Below are 22231 nucleotides of genomic sequence, written 5' to 3' on the forward strand. Positions count from 1 at the left end.
ACTATCTCAGGCACCCATGTGGACAGTCTGTGGGTGTTTGACATCACCATCATTCCTGACTCAGAATTTGTATGCTACAAAGAAAATGATAAGTAATCATTTTCTTACACTTATTCGCACTTCAGTACTCAACAGTAAAACAATATGGCATATCATTAATATAGTGATAAACAATGTGTTCCAGGTAACTAAGCAACACAGTAGCATCACCAGAATACCTGTATCAGCTGTTAGACAATGACAACAAACATCAGCAGGCTGGATCAATTGTGTGTGGTGCACATGAATTTTGACTGTGACCTGGCACATGAGGTCCATTGTGGAATTTTCCACTTGTGGCATTATGTCGGCATTTAAAACATTTCAAACGTTGTAGTATTTCAGATTTCAGATTTTTGGATTAGAAATGCTCAACCTGTATTAATAACTGGGTATACAATAATCTACTTAGTACTTTGTGTATATGTATGTATCTATTATGCATTGATTCTTTAGTGTGGCACTTTACTGTATGTTTTATGTATAAAATTTTATTTGGCTGAGCATGGTGGCTCAGACCTGTAATCCTAACACTTTGGGAGGCCAAGGCGGGTGAATCACTGGAGGTCAGGAGTTCAAGACCAGCCTGGCCAATATGGTGAAACCCCATCTGTACTAAAAATACAAAAATTAGATGGGCGTGGTGGCACACGCGTGTAATCCCAGCTACTTGGGAGGCTGAGGCAGGAGAATTGCTTGAACCCAGGAGCAGAGGTTGCGGTGAGCCGAGATCTTGCCACTGCACTCCAGCCTGGGCAACAGAGTGAGACTCTATCTCAAAAAAAAATTTTTTTTGTATTTAATCCTTCCAAGTTTGTGTGAAAAGTATTATTAACTTCAGTCTACAGATGGGAGTACTGAGACCTGAAGTGTTTCTATGGCTTGACCAGCTCACACTGCTGGGCTTTCCAATGACCAACCCTGCATTTTCAGCCTTTCACTTATTACTGGGCACTGAAGTTAAATGTACCTTTGTTTTGTTTTTTGAGAGGAGTGGATGTTAGAAACATTGAATTGATTAATACAGTGTATACAAATCATTGACTGCATTTTTTTGGTATTTCCATAGAAATGATTCTCAAAAGCAGAACTGATGAATCAAAAGGTACACTGGGGTTTCCTCAAACATACTGAAGAATGTGGCTTTTCAGGAAAGTTGTAACAACATATATTGTATTCCAACCCTCTATGAAGGTGCCAGACTCCAACTTGTCAGTGCTCAGCGCTATGATTTAAACCCTTTTAGTTTTGCTCTTTTGCCAAAGGAAGAGGGATACTGGAGGTGGGCTCTTTGCAGGTAGGTGCAGCCAGGTGACTCCTGAGAGTGGCATCTGGGAAAGATGTTGTTTTCCTGATCAGGAGGGACATTTTCAGTTGGCACAAGTGTTCACCCTTTGTCCTTCTGTCTCCTCCTGCTGTCTTATGACCGAGGATTGAAAGCTGCATGCTGAGGACTCCACATGGAGGGAAAGGTGGCCTGGGGGCCTGGGTTACAAGGGCATCGAGTGGGGAAAATACCCAGTTTAGTGAAACCTCTGTTGTTAGGTTCAGATGCAAAGGCAAATGCAATCCTATCCACTCTATTTTCTCTGACTCTTAGTGAAAGGATCATGTTTGTATCTCATTTTCTGCAAATTCTCTGTACTGGGACTTTGCATCTCCACACAGCCCCTCACAGCGCCCCCCCGCCCCAAGTAAGGTTTTGGTGTTTCTCTTGCCAATTTGAATTAAGTCTATATATTATAGATGTTAACTATCATTTTTGATGCAGTTTAAGATGTGTCTTTTAATTTTATTTGTGATGACCTATTGGTTAAAATAATGATCTTCAGATGTCTCCATCAAAAAGTACAATTTGTCTTCACACTTACTAATAGGGACAAATTCCTATTCCCCAATAACCTTGCACTTAATTGTCGTATCATCGAATGGATCGCCCCTAAATCTACATTGGGGGTTGCAAAATGGTAACTTTACAATCATATGATTCCCTTCACATTCATTAGTGGTCATTCTTCTGTGAACAAGAGTTTCCTTCTCTCTCTCTCTTTCTCTCTTTCTCTCTCTCCCTTCCTCCACCCCTCCCTTTAGGGGAAGAGAGTCACTGGGTTCTTAAGGATTTTTACTTACTCAGTGTGATACAATCAGTATTCTTCATGGTGCTCAAATTAACCCAATTTTGCCCAGTGAGTGCCTTTTATGTTATCTCTAACACAAGAAATTGAGTGCTTACACTTTTCTTTAATTCTTGACCCTTCTTTCTTCCTTCCTTCCACTCTCCTGGTCTCTTCCCCTTCCTCTGTTCCTTCCTTCCTTCCTCCCTTCTTTTCTTCTTCAGTTGGAGGTGGGAGGTGCTTATAACATTGGCTAAAATTAGAACGATAATAAATAATGTGGTGAAAGAAGAGTTCTATTTAGTTCTTGTCTTTAATTAAGCTGGATTTAGTTTTTCATTATTAAATAATAAGGGCTATTTGTTTCAGTTTTTTAATAAGAAAGAAGGATGATTCTATTTCTAGTTTTGTTGGTGTTTTAATCATGTCTAAACATTGAATTTGGGGGAATTTACTGAAGTTAACTAGTGCGTTTTTTCCTTTGACCTAATGAAATGATCAATTACATTAATAAGTTTCCTAGAATTAAACTATCTTTACAGCCTTCAAATACACCCAACCTGAGCACTATTATTTTTTCAATTCTGTGATGACTCAATGTGTTTAGTTTTATATATATATGATATACTTACATATGAAATATATACACATTTATATATAAATGAATAAATAAGATTAGTTTGCATTTTTATTATACTATGTATTTAACATTTATAAAATGAATTGGTAAACTTTTTAAATTCTCCTGGGAAATGAATATCATGTGATTATTATTCCCTGGAAAATCTCCTTGGGCTTTATGCCTTTTTCCGTATCAATCTGATAAATTAATTCATTAATCTTATGGTTATTGGTCTCTTTAGTTTTTATTTCTAGTTGAGACAAATAAATTATCTTTTCCTAGAAAACTGTCTATTTTTCTAAATTCAAGTTTTTGACCATTTTTCTTTTATAGTTTCCTGTTTATTAGTAGCTTTAATTCCTTTTGTTGTTGTTTTTACATTTTATATTTCTCTCTTTCTTTCTCTGTTCCTTCCTTACTCTGTCCCTTACTCTCTCCCTCTCTTCCTCCCTCTCTTTTTCAACTAAGATTAGTTGTAAATGTGTCTATTTTATTGTTTTTTTAACTCAAGAACTAATGCTGATATTCATTTCCTTTATTTTGTACTTTCTTATATCTATTGTTTTCAAATATATGTATATTTTTAATAATACAGTTTTCATGAGTGTCTTTTACTTTTCTTTTTATGCTGTTTTGGATGAAAACTTTATTTGTTGATTCCCATCTTGGCATGTCAATAATTTTAAGTCATTCTTTTCTGCTAAGTCTAGATTTAGCTTAAGAATTCTTCTCAACAGAGAGCTGTACATTGTCACATGTAGGCTAGGATATATAGCTGTGTCCATCTTCGGAAAATATAATTAGTCACAAGCCCTCTCTAACTTGTTCAAACTTACCTAAATTATGTTTTTTTATAGCCCAAGTGTTTCATTCTTAAATTTTAAGAATAAATTTGTGGCCGGGCATGGTGGCTCAAGCCTGTAATCCCAGCACTTTGGGAGTGGGCGGGTCACCTGAGGTCAGGAGTTCCAGACCAGCCTGGCCAACATGATGAAACCCTGTCTCTACTAAAAATGCAAAAAGTAGCCGGGCGTGGTGGTGCATGCCTGTAATCCCAGCTACTTGGGAGGCTGAAGCAGAAGAACCGCTTGAACCCGGGAGGCAGAGGTTGCAGTGAGCCGAGATTGCACCATTGCACTCCAGTGTGGGTAAGAGAGTGAGACTCTGTCTCAAAAAAAAAAAAAAAAAAAAAAGAATAAATGTGTTTTAAAATATGAATGGAATGAACTTCCCACCTATAGATTTTTGGGAAAGTCTATGTTTAAGTGTTTTTATGTTTAAATTTAAATTTAATTTTTTTAAAGACAGGGTCTTGCTCTGTCCCCAAGGCTGGAATGCAGTGGTGCAATCATAGCATACTGCAGCTTTGAACTCCTGGGCTCAAGCAATCCTCCTGCCTCAGCCTCCTAAGTAGTTGGGACTACAGGCATGCACCACCATGCTGGGCTTCTGCAGGTTTTTAAGTGGCATATTTTCCTCAATCTTTCAATATTTGGGGGATTTTTTTTTCTTACTTTAATAAATAATGTTTTGTCTGCGACTATCATTTTTGTGTTGTGACTTTTTCCCCAAGACTCTTGACATATTATTCTACCTTTGGTGATCATGGAGAAGTCTGAGGGCAGCCTAAATTTAAATTCTTTGTAGATAATCTGGATTGTTTTTCTACTTGGGTACATTTAAGAGTTTTAAAAAATGTATCAGAGCATTTTGCTAAAATGTCTAGGTATATAGGTTTTTGCTCTCGTTGACTTTACCTGAAACATGAATTCTGATTTGCCTACTCTGTGAAGGAAAATCTTTACTTATTATATTTTTGTGTATTGATTCTTCCCCCTGTGGTACTGTATTTATCTCGGGGATGTTGTTATAGGCTGTTATCTATCTACCAATATCTTCCCTCTCTTTTTTCACTTACTAACAGGGCCACGACTTAATTTGGGAATGGTCTCTTCTTAACAGCTTTATCTCCCAGTCTTCCTTACAGGGAGGGGGTAGTCATATGACATATTTGAATCTAATGAGATAAATTTGGAAGCTGCCAGGTGGAGCTCCTGAGAATGCTCTTTAAGGGGAGATGACTCATCTGACATGCCTCATTCACCTCTTACTCTTCCTCTGTTAGATCTGGAATGTTATTGTAATGGCTAGAGTGCCAGCAGCCACCTTGGAAGCTGGGGAGGAGGGCCACACACTAAATTTGATGGAGCTAGGGCTAAAAAAAACAGTCTGGGGTTCTTAGAATATCATGTAGCTGCCCTCCCACCCCAGATCTGTCCATCTCTGGACTTCTTGCCACATAAGAGAAAATAAATATTTCTCTTGACTAAGGAAATGCTCATGGCTTGTTTGGTCAATGTCTGAACAAAATAACTTCTCTGATAAGCCAATAAAGGTAAATTATCCATCTACACCTATCATCTTTTCATGCATAGCTTTTTCCTTTGACCCATTCTTTCATATTCTTAAAGAGGTTTTTATTCCTTTTTGATACCTCTGATTTGAATTTTCACTCTAAAGCAGACTTTGTTTCTATTACTTTTAATTTTCATGCTGGAAAGATATAGCTCTAATCCCCTATTTGAGTTATATCTTTTTTCATTTCAACTTGCATTTCATTTCGTTTGATTTCTGAATTTAAGTTTTTTCTAAAATCAAGATTAAGTTATTTTTCACATCATTTCTCACCTGATTTCACAAGGCCTTTTATGCTTTTATGACATTTTTTTCAGGATGCAAAATAGATACCATTTACACTTTTTTTTTTTTTTACTATTTGCTGATAGCTCCTTTTCAAACTGTGATTTTCCCCAAATTCTTAGAATTGCACTCCCTATCTGTATTCAACTTTTTTTTTTCTCAGTTTATTCACCTTTGGACAGTAAAACAATCCAGGCTGATGTTTACTAAATTATTAGAAGAACCTCGTCCTGTCTCTATGTGGGTTCTGCCTGAATCAGAGGCGCCTGATACTACTATAGACAGGATGAGGGCTCTAGACCTTGCCAAATTTTAATGCTTAGTTGGCACTTATCTATTGAGGCATATCTCCTAGGGCTTATTTTGAATGAGTAGCTTCCCAAAGCTGTTATATGTGTTTCTCTCATGACTGGAACAAGGGTTGTTTCCTGGGTAATAATATAAGAGGATGCACTTGCAGAGCTCTTTAGCTCTTCATTCCCAAAGGGGGCCAATTCCAGCCCCAGGGCTGAGAGCACACTCCTTCCTCAGCTGGGCTGAAATTACAGGGAGGTTCTCTCATCTCCCAGAAGTTGTAGAAAGAGACTGCTTAGGAAGGAGAGCTGGCAAAAACGGGTCACTTCTGGAAGCACTCCTTCCACAATGGAGGAATGACAACCCATTTTCTGGCAGTGTATGGCTGTGGCCTCAGCCTCATATCTGAAATAGGGTGGTAGGCTACAGGTGGAAGATTTCCAGCCCGTTTTCATCTAAATTACCCTCTCAAACAGATCACAGTTTTGCAATCCAACCCATCCAAACTGCAGATAAGAGAACTTTTTCCCAGGGAGCTGCAAAACATTGGTCAGCATTAGCAATTCCCAGTGCTGTGCCTTGGGGAGCATTATAGTCAATGCACGTCCACTCTCACTTGTTCTGGTGGTGGCCGACTCTAGCCCAGGATGTTCCCAACCTAAGACTGATCCCACTGTTTTCAAGGCATTTCAGCTGAGAAACCCTTTATTATCTCAAGTTTAATATGCCCAAAGCCAACAGTATGACTTTTCCTGGTAATGACATTTTAATTCTTCTTGCCCTTAAATCTTGTAGTTAAGCAACTAGACCCACCATCCAGGTCAACCTGTTAGAGTTAAGCAGTGAGACACAGATGTATCACCCAAATACCCTTGAGGTTATCCAGAATTCCACTTTCCCTCCTTTCCATTCTCACTGCTGTCACAAGTGTGTGGGGTGGGTTCAATCGCTTCATGTCTGAATCACCGAAGGAGCACTCCTGCTCATCTCTTCTGCATCTCCTCTCCCCTCCCTCCCAGCAGGCATGTCAATCCCAGGGTGATGCTTTCAGCAGAGCCTCAGTCATGCTACCCTTAGCTGAGGAGCTGCTGTCTCTTCCCTGTGATCTGCAGCTCAGGTTCCAAGACCATGATTAAATGGTCTAGACCCTCCAGAGATGTGGCCCACATTCATCATTCATCCAGTATTCCTTCCTGCCTCTCTCTAAAATGGATACTCATCAGTAGATTCCGCACATTCCATTCTATATTTATCCTCAGCTCTTGGAACTTGTAAATAATATCTTTTCTGCCTGGAATGCTTTCTGCCTTCTTTTATTTATTTATTTATTTATTTATTTATTTATTTATTTGAGACAGGGTCTTGCTCTGTCATCCAGGCTGGAGTGCAGTGGTACAATCACGGCTCACTGCAACCCACACCTCCTGGGCTCAGGTGATCCTCCCACCTCAGCCTCCCGAGTAGCTAGAACTACAGGCATGTGCCACCACGCCCAGCTAATTTTTGTATTTTTAGTAGAGATAGGGTTTCACCATGTTGCTCAGGCTGGTCTCGAACTCCTGAGCTCAAGTGATCTGCCTGCTTTGGCCTCCCAAAATGTTGGGATTACAGGCATGAGCCACCGTGCCCAGCCACTTTCTGCTTTCTTTATCACCTGTTTAGATCTTACTCCCTCCCAAAGATGCAGCTCAAATCCAGATGTCATATTATTCTGACCAACACTTTTTTTTTTTTTTAAGATTCCGGCCATTATATACTGAATAAGAGACATGCACATTTGGAAATGATTTCAGTGGCTTTGTTTGTAAATTCTTTTGCATCTCTCTCATTTATGTGTGTGATTCCTCAAAAGAATGTTCAATAAATAGATGCTATAAAAGTCAGAATAATAACCCTCGAATTTTTTTCTCTAGCTGTAAAAGTCAGAATAATAACCCTCCAACTGGGAGAGGTAATGAAAGAAGATGTTTTCTCAGTGATTGGAATTGCTGCTGCCCGGACTGGCATAAGCCAGTTGTTCAGGAACTATTGGATGCTGGTGAAGATATCATTTCAACTTACATTTTCTCGGCTTATGTAGTCAATGGTTTAATCTATGCTGATGATTAAATATCTCTTTATTAAAAACATGAGTTTTTTGTTTTGTTTTTATGTCTGTTTTTCCATTTTAGTTCCTAAAGCACAGATTGCTCCAGCACTGCCAGTAAATTAATTAGGAACCACCGGGTGGTTTTCTTCTGGGAGTAGGAGTTGAGGGTCGCTTTGGGGGAGTTCATTGTCGTGTCCTTTCTTCCACATTTCTGAAGTGTTGTTATAAAAACGCCTTGCTTTTCTGTCTGGATATGTACTTGTCTGCACAGTCTATTTACCACCCCTATAGAATCATCATCTTCTCAAACTATGTCTACAACGTTTGCTTTTACATAAGTTGGACAATTAGGCTAGTGTTCTGTGCCTTAGTAAAAACCCTCTCTCTCTTTTAGACCAAGTGACCTAAAACCTCAAGCAACAGTTTTAGGACGGAGTATTCCAAAGCGCTTTCCATAAAACTGTTTTAGGATGAAAATAGAGCTTATTCCAGGGTAGGGGCAGGGGGAAGGGTGGGTGAGAGATTTTAAATGTCAGATAAAGAGGCCTGAACAAAGAGAAACAGATTTCTTTGCTTCTTTACTGCAGGACTTCTCAAGGCCTTTGGCAGGCTGCTGTGCATGGTAAAGCTCCACCAGGGCCAGGTTTCCATGTGCAGCTGTGCAGACAGACTGGTTTTTTTGTTTGTTTGTTTGTTTGTTTTAATAACATTTAGTATTTTAGCATTGTTTTAACAAGGCGTTTTCACATCCTTCGTGCCATTTTAATTGGTGTTCTTTTTGTTTCCATCTCCATTTTATTATGATATCTTCTTTATTCTTAATGAGCAGCTCTGATGTGAATGGTGCCTCTAGGAGGGAAATACTGACCTGACCCTAGGGGGGCTGCCACAGCATCCCCAGAAGCATTTGGCATGAAACTCTTGTTCTTCAAAGAATATCTTTCAGGCCTAGTGTTTAATGGGGAGCACCATGGCAAACCTCAGCCTGGGCTGTTGCAAATCCTGTAATCAGAGTAAAATGGAAGTTTTGCCATACAGCTTGTCTGGCCACTAAAATGCTACTGGCTTGGCTCAGAAATGTTCAAAAGACCCCCTGCATAGAGGATGAGTCAAAGACGCAACATGCAACTATTCCTTTGTGCTGCCAGGAAGACCGTGCTGTGAATCCATTTCCTACTTAGAGACTCCTGTTTTCCTATTTAATTAATGTCATATTTTCTCTTCTATAACATTTAGTATTTTAGCATTGTTTTAACAAGGCGTTTTCACATGATTCGTGCCATTTTAATTGGTGTTCTTTTTGTTTCCACCTCCATTTTATTATAATACCTTCTTAATTTTTCTGCTTTTTAGTTTTCCCTTATTTCTTTTCATTCAAAAATTTAACACAATTTTATATTGTTCCCGGCTTCTAATCTTTTAATTTACTTTCTTAATCCAAGTTTGGTTTCGTTTCTCTTAATTGCTTTATTTCATTATTCATTTTGAGGCTTTCATCTTTGGAAAAAGGGCAAATTTGGGGATCAGATTATGTGGTTTTGACTACCTTCCCAACCATTACTGTCTGGGTGTCTTAGGTGAATTGTTTAACCATTCTCAAAGCTTCAGTTTTCTGTTCTGTGAAATGGACTTGGTGATAAGTTGTTGTAAGTATTAAATGAGAAAATGCATCCAAAGTTCTTAGCCCAGTGCCTAGCTAGATAAGAAATGTCTAATAAAGGTTATTTGCAATGTGAATATTATTACATTTTAAGTTGTTTTGTCATCTTTTTATTGTTAAATTTATACTTATTTAATATTTTTGATTATTTGTTTCATATTTTTTCCCCATTCACCTTGAAACTTTGGAATTTTGGATTCTGACATCCTTTTTTGGCTCTGTTTCATCTATATTTCTCCTCATTAAATTTTTTCCATTTCTTCTGAATTTGATTATTTTTATGCTGACATCTTTATACAGTACATGAAGCAGGGATGAAGGGATTGCTGAAGTTAGTGGACTCACAGGACTAGCAGGGAGGTCCCAGGCCATAGAGGTGCTTCTTGACTGATGAGCGACTGTGCCCCCTCGTAAGTCTCCTGTCTCTTTTCTTGTCAGTTCTCCAAAAAAATCCTACTGTGAGCTATTTCCCATTGGTTAAGGGTATATCTAAGTGCTGAAGTAATGCTGTTCCGTCACACTCATTAACCGTGAAGAACCACACATCGAATCCATCGTTTCTGGCCTTCGTGGTCCCTCATTTATCTTCTTTTGTTACTTTTTGAAGGTAGTTTCTAAATGGCGTCCCAAAAGATCCTCTAGTCTTAAATTACGTGATTCAATGATTCAATATATCGTGCTCAGTATTCTCCCACGAGATTAGGAGAACCCAAAGTAATGCAAATGCTCCCTTTTTGCGGTATCAGCTCGGCTGCTGTAAGTGATGACACAGACTGGGCATCTTCAGCAGAAATTTATTTTCTCTCAGTTCTGGAGGCTGGAAGTCTGAGGTCAAGGTTCCCACTGAGTCCGTTCCTGGTGAGGGCTTGCTTTCTGGCTTCCCGGTGGCCACCACCTCACTCTGCTCACGTGGCCTTCTCCATCATAGACAGAGACAGAAGCAGAGAGAGAGACAGAGCTCCCAGGGGTCCCTTCTTCCTAGGACATTGGTCCTATTGGATCAGAGCCCTGCCCTTCTGACCTCATTTAATCATAATTACTTCCCTAGAAGCTCTGTGTCTTAATACAGCCATGCGGTGGGTTAGGACATCAACAGGTGAATTGTGGGGAGACACAGACATTCAGTTCATAACACCCGTCTTTGGTATGGAGAAAGCTGACCAATGGTCTGGTCTGCCAGCACTGCGAGGTGACATTTCTCACTACCCACTCCTGACTGAAAGCTGGCTCCCTCTGGCTATAACATTCTTTGCTTGAATCCACTGAGTGGGGTCATTAGGAAACTCTATTCAGTTGCCTCACCAGGGTGCCCACCCCCACGGCCCTGGAATCTCACCGAAGCCACCTGTCCAGGAATTGCCCAGACACAGGCACGCTGACCCCCTGCTGGGTCACAGTGCTTACCTCAGAGAACTGCTGCACCTGGGGCTGAGCCCTTTGAAGCTAGTGGTTTTCTTAGAATGTGCTTCTCTTGGAATGTAGCCAAGAGTGTTGACATTTCTCTTGGGTTTTAACATATTTTTGTTTGAGATTTGGATTTTGTTTTTTTTTTAAACAGAGTTTCGCTGTTGTTGCCCAGGCTAGAGTGCAATGGCGCAATCTCAGCTCACCGCGCCTCCGCCTCCTGGGTTCAAGCAGTTCTCCTGCCTCAAGCATCCTGAGTAGCTGGGATTACAGGCATGCACCACCACCCCGGCTAATGTTGTATTTTTAGTAGAGACAGGGTTTCTCCATGTTGGTCAGGCTGGTCTTGAACTCCCGACGTCAGGTGATCCGCCAGCCTCGGCCTCCCAAAGTGCTGAGATTACAGGTGTGAACCACCGCACCCGGTGAGATATTTGGATTTTAGAAAACTAATTTCTCAGTTTGTAAGGAACCAAAGAAATACAAATCCTTCCTAACAGCATGGGTGTACTGGCGACTTGGAGTCTATGAGCCGGACACCTCAAGTCCTACTGCAGGATTCCTCCCACTGGCTCTAATTTAGGCTTTGAGAGTTTGGGTGCAACTGACCTCAAAGTTCTATTCCTCCCGAAAACCTGCACACGCTGTGCTTGCACTGGAGTCTGTATTTATTTCTCCATTTATTTTACTGCATTCCACATTCTCTATGATAGAGAAAATTCTCTGAGGACTTGAAAACTAGATTGAGGTCTGGGTCTGATGGAGGTGTGGGATGCCTGTTTTTGTTGTGAACGCCTGGCCTGGATACCCTGCATCCTCATCATTTGGGGATGCCAATTAAACCTGCAGATTCTGAACTCCCAGGAGGGGGCCCATGGAATCGGGCCCCTGGGACTTGGACAACACTGTGGATATTGCCTAAAATCAGCACTTTTAAACAAGTTCCCAAGATAATTCTTACTCGCACTCCAGTGTTCCCCTAGGGCAGCTTTGTCACCCAAACAGAAAATTCTTAGAAATGTATTCATGCACAGAATCTAGCATGCTGAAGGGTAGCACTGGAGACCAAGCTGGGGGAAGTTACCTCCTCCCTTCCGAGGGTCGAGGGTGGGCTGCTGTGCCCACCAGTCCTGGCTCTGGCTCAGCTCCCTCCCCACACAAAGCCAACGTCCTGCTAGGTTTCAGCTCAAAGTGACAGCAGACTGGCTTCCCATCCTCACATCTCTTTGCCCACAGGCCTGGCCCCTCTGTGGCTTCTAATTTTTTGTTTTACCTCTGTGGTAAATCCTATGTGGCTTCTAATTTTTTGTTTTACCTCTGGAATTTGACAACAGTTCCTGGAGGATCTAGCATGTATACACATTGGTTCTTTTAGCACTCCAGTTTCAGCATCCACTTGATAGCTTCCTGTGCCTTATGCTCAGAAGCGGGGTTCCGGCTTGTCTTGCATCCACTCCTATCTGTGGGATGGAGCACAGGGTGTAAAATCGACAGGTCCCAGATCTGTAAAATCGACAGGTCCCAGATCTGTAAAATCGACAGGTCCCAGGCTGGCTCAGAGTGGTGGGTGCTGTGGTAGCCAAAGCTGGGCTTGGCCATGTAACACTCCAGACTGGAGAGTGGTAGGCTGCCTATTTTATTTTATTTTATTAAGACAGAGTCTTGCTCTGTTGCCCAGGCCAGAGTGCAGTGGCATGATCTTGGCTCACTGAAACCTCCACCTCCTGAGTAGCTGGGATCACAGGTGCATGCCACCACGCCCAGCTAATTTTTGTAGTTTTAGTAGAGACGGGGTTTTACCATGTTGGCCAGACTGGTCGTGAACTCCTGAACTCAGATGATCCACCCACCTCAGCCTCCCAAGGTGCTGAGATTACAGGGGTGAGCCACTGTGCCCGGCCAAGGCCGCCTTTCTTTTTTATATATTGTTTTGAGACAAGGTCTCGCTCTGTCAATGATGCTGAAGTGCAGGGGCTTGATCACAGCTAACTGCAGCCTCAACTTCCTGGGTTCAAGCAATCTTCCCACCTCAGCCTCCTGAGTAGCTAGGGCTACAGGGATGCACCACCATGCCTGGCTAATTTTTTTATTTTTTTGTTAGAGACAGGCTCTCACCATGCTACCCAGGCTCGTCTTGAACTCCTGGGCTCAAGAAATCCTCCCACCTCAGCCTCCCAAAGTATTGGGATTACAGGTGTGAGCCATGGTGCCCAGCTGGATGCCTCCTTTAGATGCCAGCTCTCACTCCCCAGGATGAAGCTGTGGGCATAATTGTAGGAGTCTAGCCCTGGAACCCTTATGCAGCTGCTGCTTCAACTGCCCAAAGGACTTTGGAGAAGATCCTCCTGGCTACCAACCGCTTGTTCAACCTGCAAAATGTGGTCATTCCATGTACACTCACTGGGGAGACTGAGTTATTTGCCTTATTTGATGGCCACTTGGGGTGGGCACAAGACATTGATTAAGTTAGAAATTTTTCCAGCTCAGAAGTCTAGAGGGAACTAGGTAGTTTTTCTCTGCATACTCAGGAGTATAACTCATAACCTTCCTGGTCAAGATTTGACCTGCTAAGACTGTGTTTGTCAGCCAATGGCCAGCAGGCTTCTTGCCACTTTGTCACAGATGATGATATTGCTGCACTCACGGTCAGCAAGTCTGGCATGTTCCAGGATCCCATTCCAGATGCCAAATGACATCGAGTCATCATGTCTTCCTAGACACCTGTTGGCTGTAAGAGTTTCTCGGACGTTCCTTGTTTTTGATGACCTTGACAGTTTTGAAGAATGTTCATCAGGTATTTTATAGAATGTTCCTTCATTGGGACTTTTTTTCTCACAATTATACTGGGGCTATGTGGTTTGAAGAGTAAGGTGCCATTTCATTCCATTATATTAACGGTATACAATATCAATATGACTCATCACTGTTGACCTTAATCACTTGGCTGAGGTAGTGTTTGTTGGGTTTCTCCTCTATGAAATTTCTCTTTTTCCCCTTCCCATGCAGAGCTCTTTGGAAGGAAGTCACTATGCATAGCTCACACTGAAGGAGTAGGAAGTCTGTTCTTCCTCCTTGAAAGCAGACACCTACCTACCTATGGAATTTTTCCCCAAGGGAGATTGGACTCTTCTCCCCCATTGATTAGTTTACTCACTTATTTTTGTCAGTATGAACTCAGGAGTATTTTTTTATTATTTCAATTATAATCCAATAATACATTATTTTGTTGTTGAACTTGTCTGGGAGCCCTTTTATTGACTTGTGTGTCCCTTTGATATGCTGCATTTTGTGGAGTTTTCTTGTTTCTTTGTCTGTTGCTTTATTTTCTAGAGCACTTTCTTATTTCCTGGCACTACAAAATACTCCAGACTCATCTTGTATATTTCTTGTTTTAGTCCTAGATCAGCCATTTCTCCAAGGTGCCCTATTTTCTTTTATTGTGGAATAGAATCAGACATCAAGATGTGGGTGCTGGTTTTACGGTATTTTTGATGTTCGAAAACCCAATTAAATTTTATGTAGCAAAATCTATCAACCTTTTACATTCTATTTTCTCACTTGCTTTTAAAATTCCTTCTTTCTAAAGACAAATCAGTGGATAATTATATGAATTTAGATGTAAATAATCTGCATATATGTCCTTTCATTTTTTTTAACATTTGAATCTTTAAATATATGAGCTATACTTTTGGTACATGGTGTGGATGTTTTACAACTTTATTCCCAAAATAAATTACTAACTCTCTCAACAGAAATCATTTTATACTTTTTAAGGTATTTTTCCTTATCTTTTGAATCTTGAGATATGGGTTGATTGGATTGTGGGTTAAGCTGTATGAACTCAATGTAGTCTGCATGGCCCCTTAAGATGATTAATGGAGTGTGTTTCCCTGGTAAAATCAGCATGGCTTTGCCCTTTCCTTCTTTCATACACGTATATATTTGAGACAGGGTCTCGCTGTCTTGCCCAGGCTGGAGTGCAGTGGTGTGATCTGACCTCACTGCAACATCCACCTCCTGGGCTCAGGCGATCCTCCCACCTCAGCCTCCTGAGTAGCTGGGACCACAGATATGTGCCACCACGCCTGGCTAATTTTTGTATTTTTTTGTAGAGACAGGGTTTTGCTATGTTGCCCAGATTGGTTCTTGAACTCCTGGGCTCAAGCAATCCTCCCGCTTTGGCCTCCCAAAGTGCTGGGATTACAGGCATGTCTTTCTTATATCTTCATGAACAGCTTCTGGAGGCAGAGGTGTCTTCCTGCTGTAGAGGTCTAGAGAATATGTCTCTGCCCTTAATTGAAAAGTCTGTATGCTCTCATGTATTGCCACAAGAGATAATTTCAAACTCTCTGTTGCCCAAGTGTTATCCAGAGGATGGTTGTGAGAAACAGAGCACTAAATCATTTTATGAAAGATCTGTAGGCTACCCAACCCTCTGTATCTTCTGTGTGTCACCTCCAGGGTAAAAAAAAATAATAATAACAGAGTGGAAGTTGACTTGGGTCTACCACTTTGGGTCCTTTGTAGAACTGCTCTTGCTGAACGGTGTTGGTTTTTGCTCCTTCCTTCCTTGCACAGTGGTATGCGGTGAGAAGAAGCCACAGTTAAATCACACCTGGATTTATCACTTGGGGCCCTTACAATGGAAGATGTGATTCTCTCCACTACCCCGTGTCTCCTCTTTGGTTTGGCTGATAGGAAACTCAAAGCCAAATCTATCCCCATTTACAGCAAAATGTTTGCCTTTGACTGAATTTTACTATCTTGCTTCCAATTTTGCTTTGTCCTAATTTCCTTTTCCACTTAATTTTCTGTGGTATTGGATTTAGGGTTTCTCCACCTTGGCACTATTGACATTCTGGGTCCAATAATTCTTTTTTGTTGGAGGCTGCCCTTTGCTTTGTAGGATATTTGGCAGCATCTCTGGCTTCTGCTTGCTAGTAGCAGCTGCACCCACCCTACCCTCTCCAGTTGTAACAATCAAAAATATCTCCAGAGTTTTCCAAATGTCCCATGGGGAGCAAAATTGCCTCTGGTTGGGAACCACTAGATTATATGTATCAATGCCATCACTGAAATATTTTGGTTATAAGGCAGTATATAATATTTTGAATTAATAATAAGGAAATGAATAAGCCTTAACTGGTGAAAAGGGGAGAAAGGGAATGGAACATTTACAGTTGGACCTGGAAATTCGAGTCTTAATAAGTTGCCCAAGCATTACTGTAACAATTCTGAACCACTGCTTGTCTATTCACCTGGTGGTTCTTAGATGGAATTTCACTGAAGTATCATGTCTTTAAAGAGAGAAGCTTCTGAAGGGGAGAAATAGAGGATGTATGATGGACAAGGCTTCTTTGGGGATGCCCACTCCATGCAGACAAGGAAGATGTGCCAGGCTAATCAGGAGCCAGTGGCAGCAGGGCACTGGCCAAGCCCCATGTCTGTGCACAGACAGCTCATGGCCCATTAGTGTATGGTGCTTATCCCAGAATATGTGGACATGAAGAAATGAAGATGGAGGACTTGAGTAGGTGGTGAAGATCATCAAACTGGGATACAGGAACTAGGTTATTTGCCACTTTGGGGGTGCCATATTGCTTCTAAAGACTATTTTATGGCTGCTTTATGTGGCAGTGTATTTGCATACCCCTTGAGGAACTTGCCTCTGGCCAGCAGTGGGTAATGGAAATTTTGTACTTTTAACTTTTGTTGTGAAAGACTATTAAAGTTGTCTGTTATCCAAGGAAACCTTTACTAGGCTTTCAAAGCCAGAGCTAAAGAATAATAGGTAGTTCCCAGGTAAATATTTTAATGTGCCTATTCTGATTTCTCTAATGGTAATATGCATTTAATCTTGAAAGAATGTAGTTTTGTTTTTTTTTAACAGCACTCCAGGCTAAGCATCTTGCATTACAGTAAATAATTGAGAATTGAGCTTTACACCATTTCATCCAATTGAAATAGTGACATAGAGTGCATTTTGCCCTTTGCTTGAAGAAACATGATTTTGTTCAGCTTTCAGTGCCCATTCCTTTGCAATTGAAGCACAATGTAGTTTTTCTTTTGTTATTGCAGAACAGATGAAATGAAACCATAGATAAACGTGTAAGAGGTACTTTTGAAAGCAGAGCTATAAAACTCAGTTCCATATTCATCATGGCTTGGATGTCCAGAACTTGCTTACATCTATTTGTGGACTTTTTTGTATCAAAGGTAAACAAAGAGTTTTTAAGAAAACAATAAATTTCTTTAGTTTAAAATCAGGTCATGTACCCTTTTTTTAATTAAAAAAGGAGTGATGATTCATCTTCCATCTCCCAACTAGGGTTCTCCAGTAATGGCCCTTGATGGTGCTGTTTCAAGTTGTGTGTATCAGGAGAGTTTCAGCTGCGAAGGGACTGGCCATTGGCCACAGTAGTCTTGCCAGAATGATGTTTGGGTTAATTGCACCGTCTAGTTTATTTTCAGTCTTCCCTACTAGACAGCACTTAGCATTGTTTTACTAAACTTTATATCCCTAAGCTGAGCACTAGGCCAGGTGTATAATAAAAACTTAGTACATATTTGGGTCACTTTCTATTTAGTGATAGTGGGCAATTTGCAAAGCTCATCCCCCAAAGGCATAATAATATTTATAACAGTTGTTCCCAATTCTTGAGAATCTATTTTGTGCCATGTGGCAGTTTGGGTTCTTCTGGAAATGAAACCTGAGATGGATTTGTGTGTAGGGAGTGCCCTTGAATTCAACATCTGTGAAGGAAGGGGGCAGAAAGGGGAATGAGCCAAGGGAGAGGTGAGCTATAAAACAGGACAGAGCAGAAAGAAGGCCAGCAGACCTCAAAGAGTTCTGGAGCTGAAATGGACATCAAGGTTGTCCCATTCTGTGTCTGGCCAAAATGCCTGGGCCTCCACATCCCTGTCTTTGGATGTGAGTCACCACTGAAAAGGCATGACCTTGGGTGAGGCTTGAAGAGGCTAGCAGCTGAAGGCATGTGCTGACAGCACTCCCAGCACCTGGCTGCAGTCCCTCCTGGAAGAGGATGTGCCTGCATGTCTCTGTGTCCTCATGCCCAAGCCATTCTGCCAGATGCTTTCCATCTAGTAGCTCTTGTCTTCACTGTGATCCTTAAAGTTAGCTAATATTTGCCCTGCCCTTTACATATGCAGAAACTCAGGTTCAGAGAGGTTAAGTAGCTTGCTAGGTAAACAGTGTTGGATACTTAAATTTGGGTCTGAGTCCAAAGCCTGTACTCTTTGGATTTCTCTAGAGAATGGATCAATCAAATAAGAAAAGAAGAGTGCATTGGGAGTCAGGAGACTGAGGTGTGGTCTGGCTCTGCTGCTAACTTCAAGTTTACACTCAATTGATCAAGTCCCTTGATGACATGGAACTAAAGTGACTTTTGAAGAACATGAGTACCTCAAGGATCTTGCTAAAATACAGATTCTGATCTAGTAGGTCTGGGATAGGGCCTGAGATTTTGCATTTCTAAGAAGCTCTCAGGTGATGTCTACACTGCTGGCAAACTGAAATCTCAGAAGACTCCAATGTCTTCTTCAGCCCTGAAAGTAAATGAGTCTCAAAAATGTAGGGACAGTTCTTCCCTACAGAAGAATTCCAATTGATAAACATAGAAGAAATTAAGGAAATACAAAATTACCATCAGAACACCCCTGTAATAATTGTGGCAAATAAAATCCACAGATGAATGCTAAAATTAGAAGCTAAAAAGTTTTAGGAGAAATACAATATTTGCATAGTATCAATGTATCTCCCCCTTAAATACGTATTGATTACAAAGAAAAAATAATGAGGTTAGAGCAGCGACCCCCTTAACCATGTGATCAAAGTCAATTATCACCAGTAATAAAACATATTGTCATCATGTTGACATATCGATATCACCTCCAGATATGATGCACTGAGAAAGACACATCACTTCTGTGTATTCTTATCCAGAACACACAACCTCAGTCTAATCATGAGAGAATATTAGATAAACCCAAAATAAGGGTCATGCTACAAAATAACTGTCCAGAATTTTTTGAAATGTCCACATCCTGAGAGACAAGGAAAGGCTGAGGAATTCTCATGGATTAGAGGAGAGCAAGGAGACATAACAGTATAATGTGGGATCTTGGATTGAATCTTGGAACAGAAAAGTGATGTTGGTAAAACATGCAAATGTCAGTAGTTTATAGTACTGTACCAATACTTAATTTTGACAAATGTATCATGATGATGTAAGATTAGATATTAACTTAAGAGGATGCTTGGTGGAAGATAAATGGTAACTCTGCCCTATTTTTGCAACTTTTCTATAAGCCTAAAATTATTCAAAAATTAAAAGTTAAAATAAAAATATTTACAGATATATTCTTCAAAATTTTTTTCAGACATATTTTATACATTAACACACTCATACAATAGGGTTTATTTAGACTTTATATATTGCATGATTTGCAAATAATGATGATTTTACTTTTAATTTTCTACTATTTTTACTTCTTTTTTCATCAAAAAAAGTAAAACTCAAACAATTTTGAATTACTGTAGTGGTCATAGATATCTTTTGGCATTGCTGAATGCAATGCAATTCTATTTCATAGAATGTCCCTTATTTTGGGTTTGTCTAATATTATCTCATGATATCTTCTTGCAGTGCAATATATCTTATGGTTAAAAATGATGATAACTAACATTTATTGTACTTACTGCAAATCAGGCACTGTGCTGAATTGTTTTAAGTGTCTTACTTCATTGTTCTGCCCAATAACCCTATTATTTTCACTATTTTACAGAAAAGGAAATAGAGAAGTAAAATAACTTGCTGAAGTTCACATAGTAATTTGTGAAACCAGGATTTGAACCAAGGTTACTTAACTTTCTAAGAAAGCTTTTAGTTACGCTGTCTATAACACTGTGTATTCCTCTGACCAATTGATTTCAGTTAGATTTGCTTTAACATTGGAAGGCTACCGTCACTGAACCAGCATTTTATTTCATTTTATTTTATTTTATTTTAGATTGAGTCTCACTCTGCCACCCAGACAGGAGTGCAGTGGTGCAATGTCAGCTCGGTGCAACCTCTGCTTCCTGGGTTCAAGTGATTCTTATGCCTCAGCCTCCTGAGTAGCTGGGATTATAGGCACCTGCCATCATGCCTGGCTAATTTTTGTATTTTCAGTAAAGATGGGGTTTCACCATTCTGGCCAGGCTTGTTTTGAACTCCTGACCTCAAGTGATCCACCTGCCTTGGCCTCCCAAAGTGCTGGGATTACAGGCATGAGCCACTGCATCAGGCCTGGATCAGCATTTTAAAGATGGCGTCACAATGGCAAAGAAACCAGTCAGTGCTTTGTGATCCTCCGCCCAGTACAGGCACAGCAGGGCATCCAGAGAAGATAGGAGTCCCAAGTTGACACCTGCCACATTCTTGGCTCAGAACAGCTGTGGCTGGGAAGGTCCATGGGCCAGGGAGCGGGTGATGAAGGACTTCAGCATCTTTATCAGCGCCCCCCCACACAGACGGCAGCTGCGGCCTAGCCCCCAGGCTTCACTTGGCGTGGACAACTTGCTAAGTAAAGTGGGGGGTGGGCCACGGCTGGCTCCTACCTGGACAGGCCTCCAGCTAACTCCGGGCTTGCACAGCAAATACAAGAAAAAAAGAAACAGAAAAATCAGTTCATGTGCCCTTTCCTGACTTCTCCTGGCACCTACAGCCCTGACTGCAGAGATGGTCCCGTGGTCCCAAGACAGAGGCTGGAGAAGTGAGTGGAGCCAAGAGGCAGAAAGATCTCAGTAATTTGGAAAAAATTCCCAACTGGGTGCAGCTGGCTACACCTTTTCTTCCCCAGGTGACACTCAGGGAGGATAACATGATCTCATAAGATTATTTTTGGGGTTTCCTTGACTTAGAGTTTCCATTCTTTAGTATTCTGCCTGGGGCACAGAAAGTACTTAGTAAACCTTGTAAAAATGATTGATTTACACTTTTCTTTGATAAACATGGACAGACAATGAAGGATTTTAACTGAAGACACTTTAAGAAAAGCAGCAGATCAGATGGGTTGGGGGAAGATGTGAAGTGTTTGGGAAAATGCATAAAACAGAATTAATTTTTAAAATAAAAATTGAAGAACATCTCAATTAGCAATCTCAAGGAGAGTTGTGGGGGATATTGTGCCAAAAAAGTAGGCTGCTTTGAAAAAGGAAATTTAAAATGTGATTGCTGAAGGAGCCCCACTGATATTGGCAACAAATACCAAATAAACATTGCTAAAAATTGAATTAGGGATTTAGAAACTAACTTGAGGGGTTTTCACAGAACATAGAATGAAAATATAAATAGGAATTACAAGATAGAAGTGACTGAGAGGATAGATTTAGTGTATCCAACATATGTTTATTCTCTTCACTCTAATTGGAACAGATGGAGAAGGGATAATATTTAAAGATATATAAGAGAAAATTTACCTAGGCTAAAGAAAGATTTGAGGTTGCTGGTGAAAATTTCTCCCAAACCCATACAAGATATTGAAAAAGACACATACATATACATATCCTAATAATATGTTCTAATTTCATGAGTAAAGACATAAATTCTATAGATCTCTAAACTAAAAAAAAGATGGGAGAGATCAACCTAAAGTGTCATCAAACAGCTCATTTACCACACTAATTGCCTGATGACAAAGGAGCAAGATTCACCAAGATTGTGAACCTGGATTCCTTTGTGTAGACAAACTAGTATTTGTATAGCTACAAATGAAATATACTTTGAGATGTGAAAATACTTAGGAAATATTCTGTTAATGCATAATTTCTGGGAAAAAAAATGTTCAAGGACCTATACCACTCATTAAAACCCATCAGAATACAGAACAAATACAAGTGAAAGATAGTACATACGTGAGACAGTTATAAGCATTGAAAGCAGTAATCTCACAGGTAAGCCAAAATGTATTTTGAAACTATGTATTTTGGGAATACAACTGTGAACAAAAAAGTCCTAATAATAAGAGGCATAAATTAATAAAATCGTAACAATCCAGAACTAAAGTTTCAAATGGTTTTTTAAAATATGTTGGATAGAAGTATTTAATTTTTCAGAGCATTATATTGCTCTTTATTCTTTTTTATAGACTCATATTCCTGTTTCATGGATGAGCTCTCTCTTATAAGGGTACAATATTGCTTTGTTGTTGTTGTTTTTGTTAGTTTTCTTCTGTTCCTTAATATCTCTGTTTCTTTCAAGTTCTTTTTACCTGCCTGTTTGTTTTGGTCTCTATATTTCCTGTTAGAA

General features: G+C 40.3%; 1 protein-coding gene, 1 long non-coding RNA gene and 1 other non-coding gene across 13 annotated transcripts in view, besides 1 other annotated feature; all 3 read left to right on the forward strand.

Moving 5' to 3' along the window:
- The window catches only part of HECW1 (HECT, C2 and WW domain containing E3 ubiquitin protein ligase 1), a 453355-nt gene that overhangs the window by 17801 nt on the left and 413323 nt on the right, over nucleotides 1-22231 (forward strand). The window lies entirely within an intron of this gene.
- HECW1-IT1 (HECW1 intronic transcript 1) overlaps nucleotides 1-22231 on the forward strand; it is a 45292-nt gene that overhangs the window by 12552 nt on the left and 10509 nt on the right. The window contains exons 4-5 of the long non-coding RNA NR_135295.1: nucleotides 17001-17138; nucleotides 18194-18380. This is a non-coding gene — a long non-coding RNA (HECW1 intronic transcript 1). The remainder of the gene's footprint in view (nucleotides 1-17000; nucleotides 17139-18193; nucleotides 18381-22231) is intronic.
- Nucleotides 8098-8694: an enhancer, noted in NCBI's record as "OCT4-NANOG-H3K27ac-H3K4me1 hESC enhancer chr7:43178144-43178740 (GRCh37/hg19 assembly coordinates)". NCBI's record gives its function as "activates a minimal SCP1, AML or CMV promoter by ChIP-STARR-seq in primed H9 embryonic stem cells {active_cell/tissue: H9 hESC(primed)}" and the evidence as "EXISTENCE:reporter gene assay evidence [ECO:0000049][PMID:30033119]".
- Nucleotides 20448-20547, forward strand: MIR3943 (microRNA 3943). Its single transcript, NR_037508.1, has one exon. It is a non-coding gene; the product is annotated as a microRNA 3943 (primary transcript).

The sequence above is a fragment of the Homo sapiens genome, chromosome 7 (assembly GCF_000001405.40).
Source record: "Homo sapiens chromosome 7, GRCh38.p14 Primary Assembly".
Lineage (NCBI taxonomy): Eukaryota > Metazoa > Chordata > Mammalia > Primates > Hominidae > Homo > Homo sapiens.